Source organism: Homo sapiens, chromosome 9 (genome assembly GCF_000001405.40).
Source record: "Homo sapiens chromosome 9, GRCh38.p14 Primary Assembly".
Taxonomy (NCBI): Eukaryota; Metazoa; Chordata; class Mammalia; order Primates; family Hominidae; genus Homo; species Homo sapiens.
Window position 1 is genome coordinate 15,163,253 of NC_000009.12, and position 16,937 is coordinate 15,180,189.

At 37.0% G+C, this 16,937-nt stretch overlaps 1 protein-coding gene across 13 annotated transcripts in view, besides 1 other annotated feature; it reads right to left on the reverse strand.

Annotated features, from left to right (window-relative positions):
* Positions 1 to 369: 369 nt before the first annotated feature.
* Positions 370 to 16,937, reverse strand: part of TTC39B (tetratricopeptide repeat domain 39B) — a 143,595-nt gene continuing 127,027 nt past the window's right edge. For all 13 annotated transcript variants that reach the window (XM_047422829.1, NM_001168341.2, NM_001168339.2 and 10 more), the window contains 3 exons: positions 14,445 to 14,562; positions 11,767 to 11,883; positions 370 to 8,857 (listed from right to left, as the gene is read on the reverse strand). In XM_047422829.1, the coding sequence (XP_047278785.1) occupies positions 8,767 to 8,857; positions 11,767 to 11,883; positions 14,445 to 14,562 (326 nt within the window). In that variant the 3' untranslated portion in view covers positions 370 to 8,766. The remainder of the gene's footprint in view (positions 8,858 to 11,766; positions 11,884 to 14,444; positions 14,563 to 16,937) is intronic.
* Positions 12,684 to 13,185: an enhancer, noted in NCBI's record as "NANOG hESC enhancer chr9:15175934-15176435 (GRCh37/hg19 assembly coordinates)". NCBI's record gives its function as "activates a minimal SCP1, AML or CMV promoter by ChIP-STARR-seq in primed H9 embryonic stem cells {active_cell/tissue: H9 hESC(primed)}" and the evidence as "EXISTENCE:reporter gene assay evidence [ECO:0000049][PMID:30033119]".

The following is a 16,937-nucleotide window of genomic DNA, read 5'->3' on the forward strand; positions in this document are numbered from 1 at the left end:
AATATAGATCTCCTGATTCCCAGAGCCTATTACTTCTTCCACTGTGCTATACCCTGAATGCTGAAGATTCCTCCTTAAACTGAACATGTCAGCAGCTAATCTTTGAGCTATTAAATAAATTACAAAAAGATGATATAAAAGGCAATCCTTCCTTGAGACAACTGTACCATCCCATTTATCTCTTCATGCCCAGGACTTGGGCAAGAACTTGGTACCGAGAAGGGCCTTCATAACTGTATGTTATGATTTTTAAAAAAAGTCTTACCAAGAAACAAAAATTCAAGTTTATATCACATTGACAACTAAAGACCAGCAAAACAGATGTCGTGTACTGCTTCCACATGTAGACCAACCAGAATAAGACTCCAATTCCATCAAATGTAATTTATTTAAATAACAATTCAATTGCATGTTAAGTAAACCAGTTGTAGCAATATAAAAATACAGAATTTTGAGAAAATCTGGCAAATTAAACCTGTATCTAAATGCAGCATATTCTGTGATACTACGGAATGAAAAATAAAATGTGTTGACTTTCAAGTCAGGATGATTTATTTGCACTTAAAAATATAATTTCTAAGATGACATCTGTTTTCAAAAACATCCTAATGGTAAAAACAGGCTACAGGAATTGTTGTCATCATGTTGAAATTTTAGATTTTATATTAGCATTAGCTTAAAAATCATAGACAATAACATTAACACAAAATCAGCAAGAGAACACTCATTGGGAACAGTTTTTATGTTAAAAATATCAGAGGTTCACAGTTTTCTTCTTTTTTCTTGACTTACATTGATAAAATGCTTTGATAGCTACAATCAATTTCACCTTCTAGTACCAGATCCAATGCCTCCTTGATCAGCAGATGGATGTTACTAACACATTCATTTTATATAGAACTCACACATATTCAGTTTCTAAAAATGTTTTGCTCTGCAAAACTGTGACTGCTGAGAGTGGGAAAGATTGGAGACTAAAATGTAATGAGAAGAGAAAAAGATAAAATGCTGACAATTTTTACTAACAGAACATTAAATTATAAAGTACATACAGGTAGCTTTTATGATTCAACAAGAAACTTCACATTAGTTTACAAAGTGCTATGGACTCTAATTTTATTTTTGTTTAATCCAAACAAAAGTGAAAACCACACATTATCAAAGAATTCTGAACTCCTTCTACATGTCAAGTTAACAGAGGTTTTGAGGTGGGCAGACCACAAGACAGGTTTATTTTGTATGTTTTAAGGCAAAGCAAAATCTCCCAAATGAAACATCTACAAAATACATTTGCTTTGAGAATAAATTTCAGTAATAAAAAAATACTTCTCATTTATTAAATATACATATTTGCCTTTACATTTGATTTAGCAATGTGAATCAAAAAATGCAAGTGTTCTGTGAACATCTGCAAATCAATATTTTTAAACACCAATACAGAAATGAGTCAGTTTTCATTCAGGTGTTTGGATGTTAACAGTCAGCAAAAGAAAAAAAAAAATAGACTACTTATGGAATTTTCCCTAACACAATATGAGAATGCAACATATTTTTGAGAATTAAGTAATTTTTCTGGACCATACATATCAGTGAAACACATATGTTCTCCTTCTGCAAATATTAATTAAAGAGAACCCAACAGTGCTTAAACCATTAAATTTAACCAACAGCCTAAGATTTAAAATGTTTACCATAATCTCTGTTTATGTAAATTATTTTCTTAAAGAAAAAACAAAACACTCTATAGAACATAACTGTCTACTTTGAAGAATAAATCACTTTGGGGAAAAAATGTGAATAAAAGCTGAACTCGGCCAGGCATGATGGCTCACGCCTGTAATCCCAGCACTTTGGGAGGCTGAAGTGGGCGGATCACCTGAGGTCAGGAGTTCGAGACCAGCCTGACCAACATGGAGATACCCTGTCTCTACTAAAAATACAAAAATTAGCCGGGTGTGATGGCACATGCCTGTAATCCCAGCTACTTGGGAGCCTGAGGCAGGAGAATTGCTTGAACCCAGGAGGCAGAGGTTGTGGTAAGCCAAGATCGTGCCATTAAACTCCAGCCTGGGCAACAAGAGCAAACTCTGTCTCAGGGAAAAAAAGAAAAAAAAAGGGTGAACTCATTTATTATCCCCAAAATTGCTACCTGGACGTTTGTCTACATTAAAAATAGGAATGACTTAAAATGTCTACATGATTTCCAAAGCAAAGAGTGTCATACCTTCAAATTGATTAAGACCATTGTATTAGTCCATTCTCACACTGCTATGAAGAAATATCTGAGACTGGATAATTTATTTAAAAAAGAGGTATAATTGACTCACAATTCTGCATGGCTGAGAAGGCCTCAGGAAACTTAGAATAATGGCGGAAGGCAAAGGGAAAGAAAGGCACCTTCTTCTTCACAGGGCGGCAGGAAAGAGAAGTGCTGAGCAAAGGGGGAAAAGCCCCTTATAAAACCATCAAATCTCGTGAGAACTCAATCACTATCATGAGAATAGCATGGGGAAAACTGCCCCCATGATTCAGTCACCTCCCACTGGGTCCCTCCCATGTGGGGATTATGGGAACTACAATTCAATAAGAGATTTGGGTAGAGACACAACCAAACCATATCAACCACACAGCACTTCAAAATAATACAATTCCTTTAAAAATGAAATAATATTCTTTATTATACTTATTTTTTATTCAAAGTTTTTGGCTACAAGTCTGCTACACTGAGACCAATTTATTTCTTTCCCAAATGGTGCCCAACAGACTACCAATAATTAAAACTAATTTACTAGAAAATACTAAGCAGCAATAAAACTGAAGGTGTCACTGGGATATGCCAGCACCCCTTAAATTTGTTGTTTAAATTAGTGTTTCTAAAAACTATGGCATTAATATACAAGGTATATTGTATGTTAATATTCAACAAGTTTCACATAATGAAGTTTGTTATTAAAGTGCCTTAATTTTCCCTATTAAATATCCAATCTGTAGGCATTCTTTTCAGTTAAATACAGTGAGCCAGCTGCTTTGATTTTTCCATGTGATGTCCTGTTACAGTATTACTGTGCTAAACACATATCATGGGTACATTGTAAGCAGAAGGGAATGGGGTGTAGACTTCCTCTGAAGCTAGATCCACCTATCTCCTCTGGATAATTCAGGCCAAGAACCTGCTCAGCCATCTCAGTCCACTAAACAGTCCTTGCATCATTTCTTTCTGCAGTTATGAAGTTACAAAATGACTAGAATGGACTTCAACAGTCCTCTAAGAGGACAGTCTGTCAAGATCAGATAGCAGCTGCTCAACATAAAAGATATCTTCCCTGATGATAAATTCTGATGTGTCCTTTTCATTACATTTCAAGTTCAACATTTCAAAATAACTAAATCTAACAGCAAATGTGTAAAAGACAAAACTACCAACAATAGGCAGCAGAAACAAGCAATCTAACACTTAAAGACAAAAATATGTAAATAACTGGACTCGGGGAGGAAGGACTAGGATAAGAAATCCTGCATTTCTTTGGAAAGAACTGTATAAAACAATGTCTATTTATTATTTGTAAGTAGTTTTGTATATAGCTATCTATAGATACATGTATCTTATGAAGAAATATCTGAAGAGATTTAAAATGTCTTAATTATATATATGCATATCACTTAGGTATCATACACATTCAAAAATAAATTATTCTCTAAATGGGTAACATGTGTCCACAAACCTTTATTTTATATATATATATATATATATATATATATATATATATATATATATATTTTTTTTTTTTTTTTTTTTTTTTTTGAGACAGGGTCTCACTCTGTCACCTGGGGTGGAGTGCAGTGGCATGATCTTAGCTCACTGTAGCCTCAAACTCCTGGGATCAAGCAATTATCCCACCTAAGTCTCCCTAGTAGCTAGGACTACAAGTGCACTCCACCATGCACGGCTCATTTTTTTTTTTTTTTTTTTTTTTGTAAAGACAGGTTCTCACTGTATTGCCCAGGCTGGCCTCAAACCCCTGGTCCCAAGTGACGCCCCCCAACTTTGGCTTCCCAAAGTTTTAGGATTACAGGCGTGAGCCACCATTGCCAGCCTCTAAAAACCTTTAAATAGTAATACTGGCCTAGTTGAGAAAGTCAGTGTTGAAACATTAATAACAAAGCAATGGAAAAGATTCCACTAGATTTCTCAGAATAATTTTATCTTAGAAAATATTGGGCCAGGCATGGTGGCTCACGCCTGTAATCCCAGCACTTTGGGAGGCCAAGGCGGCCAGATCACCTGAAGTTGGGAGTTCGAGACCAGACTGACCAACATGGAGAAACCCCATCTCTACTAAAAATACAAAATTAGCTGGGCATGGTGGCACATGCCTGTAATCCCAGCTACTTGGGAGGCTGAGGCAGGAGAATTGCTTGAACCTGGGAGGCAGAGGTTGCAGTGAGCCTAGATCGTGCAATTGCACTCCAGCCTGGGCAACAAGAGCGAAACTCTGTCTCAAAAAATATATATATTAATCATGAAATCTATCTTCTCAAAGATGTGAATCACTCTTCTATAACTCTAACAACTGTACTTTGTAAAAAAGAATGTCTGTAAAATCAAATTAAAATCATCATCTCAAAAATAAAATTTCTTAATCTAGTACATAAGGAGTTTGGCGGAGGGAGGGCAGAATAATGTTCAAATATGCCAATGACACTGACCATCTGCAGATAAACACGATCAAATGAAAGTTTAAGGGCACTTTAAATAGAAAAAGCAAACTTCACAGATATGTATGTGAAGCACAAATCAGGTGATCATAGTAGACAGCAAGTAAAAGCCAGAACTCCGCAAAGCAGGCTATTGGGAGGCCTTTAAGAAGTGCAGCACGTATGAGTGAATGCTTCCTCAGCATTCAGCACCATTCCCACATGTGCTGTAAGCCATTCCGGGTGCTCCGCAGCCATGTGTGGCGAGGGGCTACTGTACTGGACAGAGCAAGACTGAGGGGAAACAACACGGTTTACAGGCTCATGAGGGCAAGGTAATTTTCTAAGATCCATTCCAGGCCCAAGGAATCACAAAATCTTAGGGTATTAAAACATCACTGGAGTCTTCGTCAACTCATTTTAACTAAATGTATTTGAATTTAAGATTTCTAAATATGCAGAGTATAAATACAAAAAAAAAAAACAGAAATGGAGGGAAATGAATGAAGCATTAGATAATTCCAGAAGATTTTCCAGTTAGCCACAAAGATCTTTTTAAAAATTATTTTTAATGTCCAAGCTGGAGGAAAACCCTCCTATTTATGAAGATCAACAGACTAGACTCACTTTAAAAAGGAGTGGATCACGAGTTCAGGAGATCGAGACCATCCTGGCTAACACGGTGAAACCCCGTCTCTACTCAAAATACAAAAAATTAGCCAGGCGTGGTGGCGGGCGCCTGTAGTCCCAGCTACTCGGGAGGCTGAGGCAGGAGAATGGCGTGAACCTGGGAGGAGGAGCTTGCAGTGAGCAGAGATTACGCCACTGCACTCCAGCCTGGGTGACAGAGCGAGACTCTGTCTCAATAAAATAATATTAAATTAAAATAAAATAAAAGGAGTGGAAAGTATTAACACCGGGGATTGTTAGTGTCTATCACAACTACCTCTAATAGTAGCTTTGAAAGAGAAAACATTCACTTTTATTTGAAATGGTAGGGGGGGAGCATTTTTTCTTTACACACTCCCTGCTGATTTGAAGCCCTAATAAAAGAATCATAGAGTGACCTCAAAGTTCAACTAGTCTAAGCTTGCAGGACAGGCAGAAATGACAGTCACATTAGCCCTGCTTAAACTCACCCCTTTGCAGAAGAACTGGTTATTGATTTTAGACTGTTGGGTTTTCCGATAATGAAAAATCTTCCTCGGCACTGATTAATCTGGAATTCAGCTTCCTACAGCCTTTATCCACTTGTCTCATTTCTGCCCTCTGAGGATAAAGACAGGATCAATGGACTTAATTTTCCTATATAACTTGGAAACTTCTTGTATCAGGGAGCATAGAAAACATTAACATATATGTCCAGATAAGAGCTGATACAGTTCACCTTTCATTCCTTGTCAGGGGGAAATCATGCCTTCCTTGTCACCATTCCTACAAAGCACAAAGTTACTTAAATTTATACAGCACCAATCAGAACCCTGCCTCTCCATTAAGGAAAAAAAAAAGGCAATTATGCCAGGAACTACATGAATTGCACTGTCAGACACAATGGCAACCCAACCCCATCATAAATGCCCCTCAAAAAACTAGATAAAACTGTCACTTCAGTATTCATTCTTCACAGAACACCCTAATGACTCCAAAATGCAATATTAGCTGATGCCCAAGAAGTTGGTGCCACTACAATATCTTGAACATAGCAGGAAACATAAATATTTGTAGCATTTTGATATTACAGTACTAAAAGATCCACTGGATATACTGTCCATAGTATCAGGTAACTGCATAAAGAATAGGAAACAAAAATAAAACAAAATATAAATAACAAAAAAGATTTTTAAATGGAGATGAATTTCTTTTATATTTGTTTAGTAATGCAGAGTTAAAATAAAAATGGCCACTCTAAGCTTAAAACTGTTTCATTTTATCCCCAAAAGAGAATTTGTTACTGACTTGCAGCACTGACTTGCAGCTTCTCACAGTAACAATGTAAGAATATATGCTCAGTATACCCACAGTCACAATGTGAGTGTGCGCTTTCAAAAATAATGTTACCAAAGCTCTTCTAAGAGCTTTTTTCCAAAAAGCTTTTTTTGGAAAACTTTTTTCCAAAGCTATACACAAATAATTTTTAATGTATTTTCCACTACTAATTATAATGACAGTTAATTTTATTTTCTATTTTGTCTGTACCTAAAGTTGTATTACTAATAACACATTGATATCTACCGCCATTGATATCTATCTTTCATTGGATATACATCCTCAGTGTTGGTCAAGAATCAGTACCTTGAAGAAAACAAGCCACACACTGCTTGATACAGGTCCATGTGGCAGGGAACGGCAGGAGCAGGTTCATATAACCTGGGTAGCCTACTGTCAACATCAAACACATGAATACACAGTAAGGTATTTGAATTTCTACACTTCTTTCATTTTACAACACAAACCACAGTATCAGCCAATACTTTTGTGTTGATACTGTAATCCAGACATAAAAAACCATAATTATTATAATAATTCATACTTTTGTATAGCCTTTTACAGTTTACAAAAAGCTATCATATGTTTTATCTAATTGAGCCCTCACAAGTACCAAATACCACACCGCTATCCATAGTGGGGCAACTGAACCCCTGAAAAGCTGAGCTACGTACTCCGTGTCATGGAACTATTAACCCACAGAGATGAACTCGTGACTCCCAATATGTGGCTCCTTCTGTTAAACTGCAGAGGCTTCTATGACAAGTTATTCTTCAAAATGGAAATAGAAATAAGGCCCAGATTCATCAACTCATAAATTGTCTTTTCTCACTCTGGATGCCACAACACATACATGTGGGGAGTTGGGGGCAATGATGATGATTGAAAAATAAAACACTCCAAGTGGGAATGGTTTGCATTCGACATTTTAAAGTCATTTGTTGAAAATAAATACCTAATACATAGACTCACAGTTATAAAACTGAAAAAGACCTTGAAAGTCATCTGTTCTTTAATCTTGATTTCACAGAAGAAAATGTGGTGACACACAGGGCACAGTGGACTCCCTAAAGGTCTCCTCACTAATCGCTAATGGGTAGCAGAACCAGGACCATATGGAGTGTCAAGCTCTCTTCTGCTCTATGCCCTGATTCTGTTTCCCAACTAAAGGACTAAGCAAGGTCCAGATTATCTACAAGGAGACATCACAGTGCTAGAGAGATTAGAAAACTAGGTCTTACCAACATCTTAAGTGTAAAAATTATTGATATTTTACATATCATTTAAAGCAGCAGGAAATTTACTTCCTAGAAGAAAAATAATCCATGTATGTATTTTAGGCTCTCATTGCTAAGGTTAAGAAAAATTCCTAAAATATGACACTTCCTTCCCTTTAGATACACAGGGGTTTTGAATTTTGTTATTATAATAGACTTAAGTACATTCAAAATCAGTCTCTCCAAAACGTCACCACCTTTAATCAAATGAAGAGTAAAAAACCACTAACTGAATACTGCATCATCCTTTATAGAGAAAGGTCTCTTCAACCCATGAAGTACATTATATCGATCCGTGTTCATGTTCTCAGACTGTCTTTTTCAGAAGTCTTCTGAAGGTCACTGTTAAGCTATTTTAAATGCAATGATATTTATTTATCTTCTGAAATTTAAATACAGGCAACAAAATATCTCTGAAGTTTAACTACCCAACAAATCCAAAATTGGCTCAACTTGTAAGCTATTTGCTAAACAATATTAATTTTCACATTAAAAAAATAAATAATCTAATTAGACTATTGCATCTGCAAGTCTTTCAAAAGACTTCTTCGCCCCCTAATTCAAATAATATGAAATTCTTTTGGGGGAGGCAAAATATAAGAATTTTCTAGATAATATAGAATGCCATTCCATAGGAAAAAAAATTATGTAGACCAACAGTAAATCTCTCAGATGATAGAAAATATTGACCAAAAAAACTGTTTTTTTGTCTCTTATTCACAAGATCATTTTTCCACTTTAATATAAGGTTGAATCTATAGCAGATGCCGATGCTAATTGAGGAAAAATTCCATCCTTCAAGTTCTGATCAATCTGAGGAAGGTTTTCTCCAGAGGTGAAGAGCTGCCTGAATTCTGAAGTGTAGTCTGGACTCCAGGGAGTAATCTTTGTAGTTGTTCCTGAAGACAATAACAATAAAATTGTACAGTCAAAATTTCCTTATATACCAGGTACCACCACTCTCCCATTCCTCTCTCTGATCTACTTACTTACTTTCAAACTCTAATATACATAACCGTAGATCTTAGTAAAATGCAGATTCTGGTTCTGTTGGGGGGTTTTGGGGGGAACTGCAATAATCTGCATTTCTAGAAGCTTCCTGGTGGTCATCTAAAGGTCATACTTTGAGTAGCAAGGTTCTGCTTAATTACCAAATCATTCACAAGCATAGCAAGAAGTTGTGAGAAGGGCTGTACAAATTTTGTGAACTAGTCCTAAATAATTAGACTTCCTTTTTTAAATTGGAAAATTTTAAGGTAGGTGCATATAAACATGGTTAGCATGATCACATGATCGATCACTCAAGAAACTCAAATGAAACAACTGCAACAAAGGCAGCAGAATTACTTAATGACGTCAAAATTACTTATTCCAATTCTCACATGTAAATATCAATGGTTTGGCCAATAATTACATAAGAATTAGGCCAATGTCTTTAAAGGGGGCCATAGAAATCCAAAGATTATTTAAAACCTGCCTAAGAGCATTTATGTTGACCTCCCTTTACCAGAATTGTTAAGAATCAGAAAAATGGAATACTTTTACATACTGCCTTGGCCCATGGGTGAGCTATAACTGCTTTCTTTACAGTGGCACTTATTTCTATAGCCCTTCATTTTGAACAGGTATAAGGGCTACTCACTGGTAATCTTGATGTGGGTTAGTAAAATGTATTATTCATAAACTAAAATCAATATGTTACTGGAGTTTACCGACAGATGGAATTGAGTATTTTCCTAAATGCCACCAATGTGGGCAACTTTGCAAAGCTCCTAATGCATAAAGGGAAAGTGCAGATAATAGTCTTGGAATTACTGGGAAGTATCTTTATGTTTGAATTGTCAGTATTGTCTTGAGTTAGTGGAGGCTTTTCATTGCTTTTTAGCAGTGAGTTACTAGTCTTTTATTTTTATCTTATAAAGTTGCCTTATTATACATTGTATATTCAAATAATGAATATTTGGAACAGCAGCATTTATAATCCATAATTTTCCAATAGCTGGATTTGAAGATATCTATATCTAACACATGAAATATTGGTCATACTCCCAACAAATTAACTTTAAAAGCAACTTGCTCTCATATCACCTATATATAAATATTTTAAGGAAGCCCTTCTTGGCTCTACCATGCCCGTAAAGCTTTTGCCCCATTACGATGTTCTATTCACAGCAAACATCCTAAAAGAGTTGCCTAAAGTAGCGGACTCCATTTTGTTTGTCACCTCATTTGTCAAGGTCACCAATGATACTCATGCTGCCAAATTCAGCAGCCACTTTTCTGGTCTTAACTTGTTTGACCTCTTAGTTGCTGCCCTCATAACTGACCATGCTCTTCTTTTTGAAACACTATTTGGTTGGCTTTCCTAGATGTCTTCCTAACTCTCTTAATCTTCTTAATCTTATCATTTAATGTCTAAGAAGATGGCATATCCCAGACATTGTGCTAGACCTCTTTCTCTAGCTATATAACATTCACAAAATGACTTCATCACACGCCATTGCTTTAAATATTACTGTCTCTGTGCTGTTGACTGCAATCTCTACATTCAGCCCTGACCTTATCACTGAACTTCATGCTAAGTATGAACGCCAACTTGCCATCTACCTAATATGAGTACCTAATAGCCATCTTAAAGAATCATGGTCTGAACAGAAGTATGTTTCGTTCTCTCCCCAAATACATTCTTCTAAGTATTCCCCAGCACAGCAGAAAGCATCATCATTGACCCAGTGGCTCAACCTCCTCAATGCAGATGTTCACTAACTGTGACTTCTGTCAGGAATGCTCCCTACCTAGTTGGTTGATTTCTGATGACTGATCTCAAGATTGGCTTTAATTATGCAAATCTCAGCTACAATATCATTTCCCCAAGGAAATATTTCAGAATCAATCTATCCTGAAGTAACACCCAGGCACCATGTATCATATTATAAATCTCAGCAAACATATACCACTGATATTTTTCTTGTCTATTTAGTATCTCCCTCTGGCTAACAGAGCAGAAGTATTGCCTGCTTAGTTTATAGTTGTCTCTCTAAAGCCTTTACTAGTAGTGTCTGACACATAATAGGTGCTCAGTGAATAACTGCTGAATTTGAATAAATGGACAAATCACTGTTTATGACCTAGAGCTAGTCTGGCATTCTTTCTCTACTGCAGAAAGTGTTCAAGGCAAACAGGCCACAGGGTTTTTGCCTTACCTAAGTGATCCATGACCACAGGTCTAAAAGCTATTGTCTACCAGAATTGATAAAAATACTTTGAAACTGCCGCAATAAACAGAAAAAACAGAGTCTGGGTAAGATCTGCAAGCTTCACAAGATCAATGGCTCTTCAAGGAAATAATAGGTATGGCTGAATACAATGAAGGTTGGCAAACTAGGACCCAAGGGCCAAATCTAAACATACCCATCTGTTTACATATTACCTTCTATGACTTCTTTTGATATAATGGAGTAGTTGCAATGGAGACTTTATGCTATAAAGCTAAAAATATTTACTATCTAGCCATTTACACAAAAAGCTGGCCAACCCCTGATATAGAATAAAATAAGTTAGAAATCTTTCAAATAGATGCCCATAATCATATCTGTAAACAGTCACAGGGTGAGGCAGTAAGAGGGTTGGAAACAGCACAATTACAGCAAAAGCCATGAGCATAAATCAACCAGAAGTTAGCAAAAGTAGCATTATTACTAATTTGACATTGTTAATTGTTAAGTATATAATGTTACTGCTGTTGTTAGAGCAGTACTGACATTTCTGACTCCATAACAATCAAGGAAAAGCTGCCTTCAACACTTACCTTGCAGTTTCTAGGAACTTTATGGCCTTGTCAATTTCCCCCTGGCTTTTATACAAAGATGCCAATTCAAATAGAGTGAACGGCACTAGGTAGTGGTCATACTTCAGTAGCTTTTCACTGAAAGAGCAGAGGAAAATCAAGTAAATCTTAACAGAACAAGAAATACACATTTTTCTAAATATATATTATTCCCATTCTTCAGAAAACATGTGCAGCACTAAGTCTATTATCATAGAAAGGCGGCCATTGTATAGTTATGGAACTCATTAAACTATGGCAATAAATAATGTTCTTTTCCTATATTAATCTTTTATTCCTTAATGTAAACCCAGCACTGATGGTTGATCGCTGTCTCTTAAGTAAATCAGCGCATACGGATCTTTAAAGATTAACCCTAGAAATGGCAAGATCATCTTTCTGAACACAAATGTGTTCAGAAAATGACTCCATTTAGAAATAAGAAAGTTGTATTATTTTTAAACTAAGGTTCAACTCCCTTTGTATTTTAAAGTCTTATAATACTTTAAAAGGCCAATAAAGAAATGGTCAACACTTCTGTTTTCAGCACTATTAGGAGAACTCTCTGGTTATAAAACATGTAAAAGCAATGAAAAAAAATACAACTAACACCATTTCAAATGCATAGCTTAGCTCACCAGAACATAAGAAAAAACCCTCAAGTGCCAAAAACAGCTAGAATTGAAAAAGTGAGACTCTACATATGTGGGATGATGCTGAATGAGCCCTGTGGTCTACCTCCAACTGAGTCAAGGGCTTTGTATCCTAATATCCATGCAGGAGATGAGGCCTTGGGCCCACAGAAAGCAGGGAGCTGAAACTGAGACCTCTATTTAAAGCTGGGATCCTTACAGGACTACTCCTTAAGACAAAGGCAGGTTAGAACAAACCCACTCACTGGCAAAGGAGGAAGACAAAGACAGTTGTCTCCTTGGCCAGCACTTTCAATGAGAAGAAAAAAGAATTCCTTAGGAAATCAATAACCAATAGGCCTGCCCACATTGAATGTGCAATTCAAATTTACATTGTCTAAATGATCCAAGAAGTAAGCAATGAAATTAACATGAAAGAGGCCCTGGGCAGAAAAAACCTTTAGGGTACCTGACAGAAATAAAATGCAAAATCACTGTAGAGCAACTCTTCTTCAGTATAGCCTCATGGGAATCTCAAGAAAAAACTCCAATGAAGGTGAGTTCACAATCCACAATTATAAAGCACATGAGCAAACAATTCACTATGAGATTCACATACAAAAAAACAGCACAATAGGTCATCCTTTTGATCATCCTTTTAATCCTTATAGAAACACTAATAAAATAGAATTCAATAGATATTTCTTTAACATGTTTACTAATTACAGAATATTACTAAAGACAGTACATTTGGGAAGTAGATATTTTCTCTTTATTCTTACAGGGGCACAAGTCCTCCTATATTCCCATCAATACTGTCAGGAAGAAGGGGATCAGGTGGCCACGGATGGAAAGGCACATGACACAGAGCACAGGATGTCCACCAGCAGTCTATAGCTGTGATTGTTTTGGCTTGCAGAATATTTTCAAAAAATTTGAGCCAATATTTTAAAATCAGGTGATTTTACATAATATCCAGATTCCAGGCTTCTCGTGAAAAATGGTAGGGATTATTGCTATTGGGCCCACACTGTGCAAAGCAATAATCAAATAGAGCTGAGGAGTGTGGCTACACTCTTCAGAGAAAACACCCTGACCTATAGAGCCTACCAATCCTATTCCTGCCACCACTCAGCCGGCCTTATTAAGTAAGGTTACATATCTGGCCCCTGTAAATACTGCATTTGTGATACAGAGAAAAGGGCCAGGCATCAGTACCCTGATTCAACTCTATGGTTAGTAATGGAGCAGGACATCATCATCAATGCTACTGAGGGGGAATAAAACCAGAACAAAACTCAATTATATACAGAAGAACTGCCCTTTGCCAAAAGAGAGACAGAGTGCTCATCACATGCCTCTCTTTACTGCCAAATTATTATCACGGTGATGGCAAGTCTGTTTACTCAGCTCTGAATCCTTAGAATCCAGCACAGTCTCTGGCATATAGTGGGTGCTCAAATATCCATGGAATAAATGAATGGACAAATAAATGTATGAATTAAATTAGTATCAGAAGCCAGGCATAGTAGTGCACACTTGTAGTCCCAGCTACTCAAGAGGCTAAGCTGGGAGTATCTCTTAAGCTCAGGAGTTCCAGGCTGCAGTGAGCCATGATTGTACTACTTGCACTCCAGTCTGGACAACAAGGAAAGTCTCCCATCTCTTAAAAAAAAAGAAAAGAAAAGAAAAACTAAAGAAATATGTAAAAAACAAAAAAATTAATGAGTAGCAGAGATTCAGTATGATGCTGCCAGAGTTTGGCTAGACACCTGTTAGTTGAGCTATAAATACAGTTTTTGTAAGTCATCTTTAAACATCAAGTAGAAATACATAAAGTCATGTTCCACCCAGACCATAATTTTGTTCACGAGGAAGAACAACAACAACACACTACTGGATTTTCTTTCTGGTAACACCAAGTAAGAGTTTAGCAGTAAGAGATAAAAGCATTTTGCATCACTTTCTCACAGCAATTCCCCAGAAACCACAATTTGCACTTGGGCTGGTTTTATTGTTTGGTCTTACCTTTCCACAACATGATTGTAACATAGTTCAGCTTGCAAGGGCCGCTGTAAGTTCTTGAGGCAACATCCTTTAAGTAACTTCACTAAGCACTCATCATCCACAGAGAAGCTGTTAAAATCTTAAAACAAAAAACATACAAAGAAAACACACAAAGAAAAATACTTTTTAAGATCTTTTTTTTTTTTTTTTTTGAGACGGACTCTCGCTCTCTCACCCAGGCTGGAGTGCAGTGGCGCAATCTCGGCTCACTGCAAGCTCCGTCTCCCGGGTTCACGCCATTCTCCTGCCTCAGCCTCCCGAGTAGCTGGGACTACAGGTGCCCACCACCACGCCCGGCTAATTTTTTGTATTTTTAGTAGAGATGGGGTTTCACCGTGTTAGCCAGGATGGTCTCGATCTCCTGACCTCATGATCCACCCACCTCGGCCTCCCAGAGTGCTGGGATTACAGGCGTGAGCCACCGTGCCCGGCCTTAAGATCTTAATTAAGAGAAAGAACAAAGTTTCAGAGGGATCATTTACAAATAAGGAAAACTTTTTAGCATTTGTTATGCCTCACTAAATAAAATACAATGAAATTATTTTAAATGAAAAGAACTGGGCACAGTGGCTCACATCTGTAATCCCAATGCTTTGGGAGGCCAAGGTGGGAAGCTCACTTGAGCCCAGGAGTTCAGGACCAGCCTGGGCAATACAATGAGACCCCGTCTCTACAAAAAAAAATTTTTTTAATTACTGGGCATGATGGCACATGCCTGTAGTCCCAGCTACTCAGAGATAGAGGCAGGAAGATCATTTGAGCCCAGCAGTTGGAGGCTGCAGTGAGCTATGATGGCGCCACTGCACTGCAGCCTGGGTGAAAGAGCAAGACCCCATCTGATATACACATACATTCCTACAGTGCTGAATTTACTATATCAGAACATCATTTTATTAAGGAGTTCACTCTATTCACTTTAAAATATTCTTCAGGTGGTCACGCTCTGAGCTTTGTGACCTTAGATACAACAACCGAAAATCTGAGCTCTAAATAAAGAGCTTTATTAATTCTATAAAAGGTAAAGCCATGAGGAACAAGAAGGCTGCCTCCTCCTGTTGTTTGGCTTCTGTGTTGGCTTCAATACAGGAGAGGATAACACTTCCATATGGAGAAGCAGATGGCCTTATCCCCATTAAAAATTCAGGAAGTAGAATACCCTCTCCAGATCATTATGTTTACAACTTATCAATTCTCCCAGGTTGTGTTCTTTTTGGGGAAAACTATGCCATAAGATTTAACAAAACGGTTCTGAAGTACATGAAAGGCACCTAAAATCTCCACAAACTTCTAACTGCTTGAGGAAAATGTCAAGGATTTTTTCACCACTTTTTCCCTTTTGAAAATGCTCTCTGCCTTCTACAGCCCAAGACAAATGTGTGTTAAACAGAAGGAACCATATTACGTGTGACATCTATCTGACAAAGGTAGCCATTCCACATTTACACTTTTGAAATTTTTTTGCAAGTTACAGGCAAGTACAACGTTATTCCAAGACAGAACGACAATTTACACATTTCAGGCTGTGACAGTAGAGAGGACGGCAGTAAAGGGAACATACGAGGCCCTGGGAGTCCCTCCTATTGAAATCCTCCTGCTTTCAGCACAAACCTCAGAAATCATCATTAACACATGCTGGCAGTTAAGATGGTAAACCACTTGACTATGGAGATTAACAATGCTACTTAACCAACCAGAAAGGGGTTACTTCTTAGGTGCTGAAAACTGAATATTCACCTCTAACTTTCAAGCTCTGATAGGTCATTCACCCAGAAAACCACGGGTATCAATAACACATTACCTTTTCTATTATTTATTTAGAATCATTTTTCTACCAAAATAAAATTCTATCCATTGCTTTTAATCACGGATGTTAAAACAGACATTCAAGAAGTAATATCTTTTAGGACCTAGAACCAAAACCAAAGGGTCCATATTGGATGCTAGCTTGTAGTATCATTTTTGTGCATTCTACTGAGTTTCCTGTAGCATTGTATCGACAGTTTGTATTATGACAACATTCTGGTGCTCTGTGAATGATGATTTTGTTGAGGAACAGACGTAACATCATGGGAAGTTAAAATACTAGTAAAGCCGCATGTAACTTCTATGACGAACTTGAGTTAGGCATACGGCGACTGGGTTCAAAAATACTATATTCCTCCAAAAACCTTAGATGGCAAAATCATTATTTCCTCCGACTACAGACCATTATCTAGCAGATGATTATTTTCCCTTGAAGTATAAATGCTTTGTCATGATTTTCAACCTCATGAAAGTGTTCATAGATGAACATTTCGACACACAACACACATGTAATATGTTTCCATTTAACATTCAAAGAAAATTACATGATAAAGCTACTAGAGTACAATTTTACGACAAAAGATCCGCTGAACTTTTATGGTGGATAGGCTGAGAAACAGGGAAGTTTGAAGCCCAAACTACAAAAAGTAT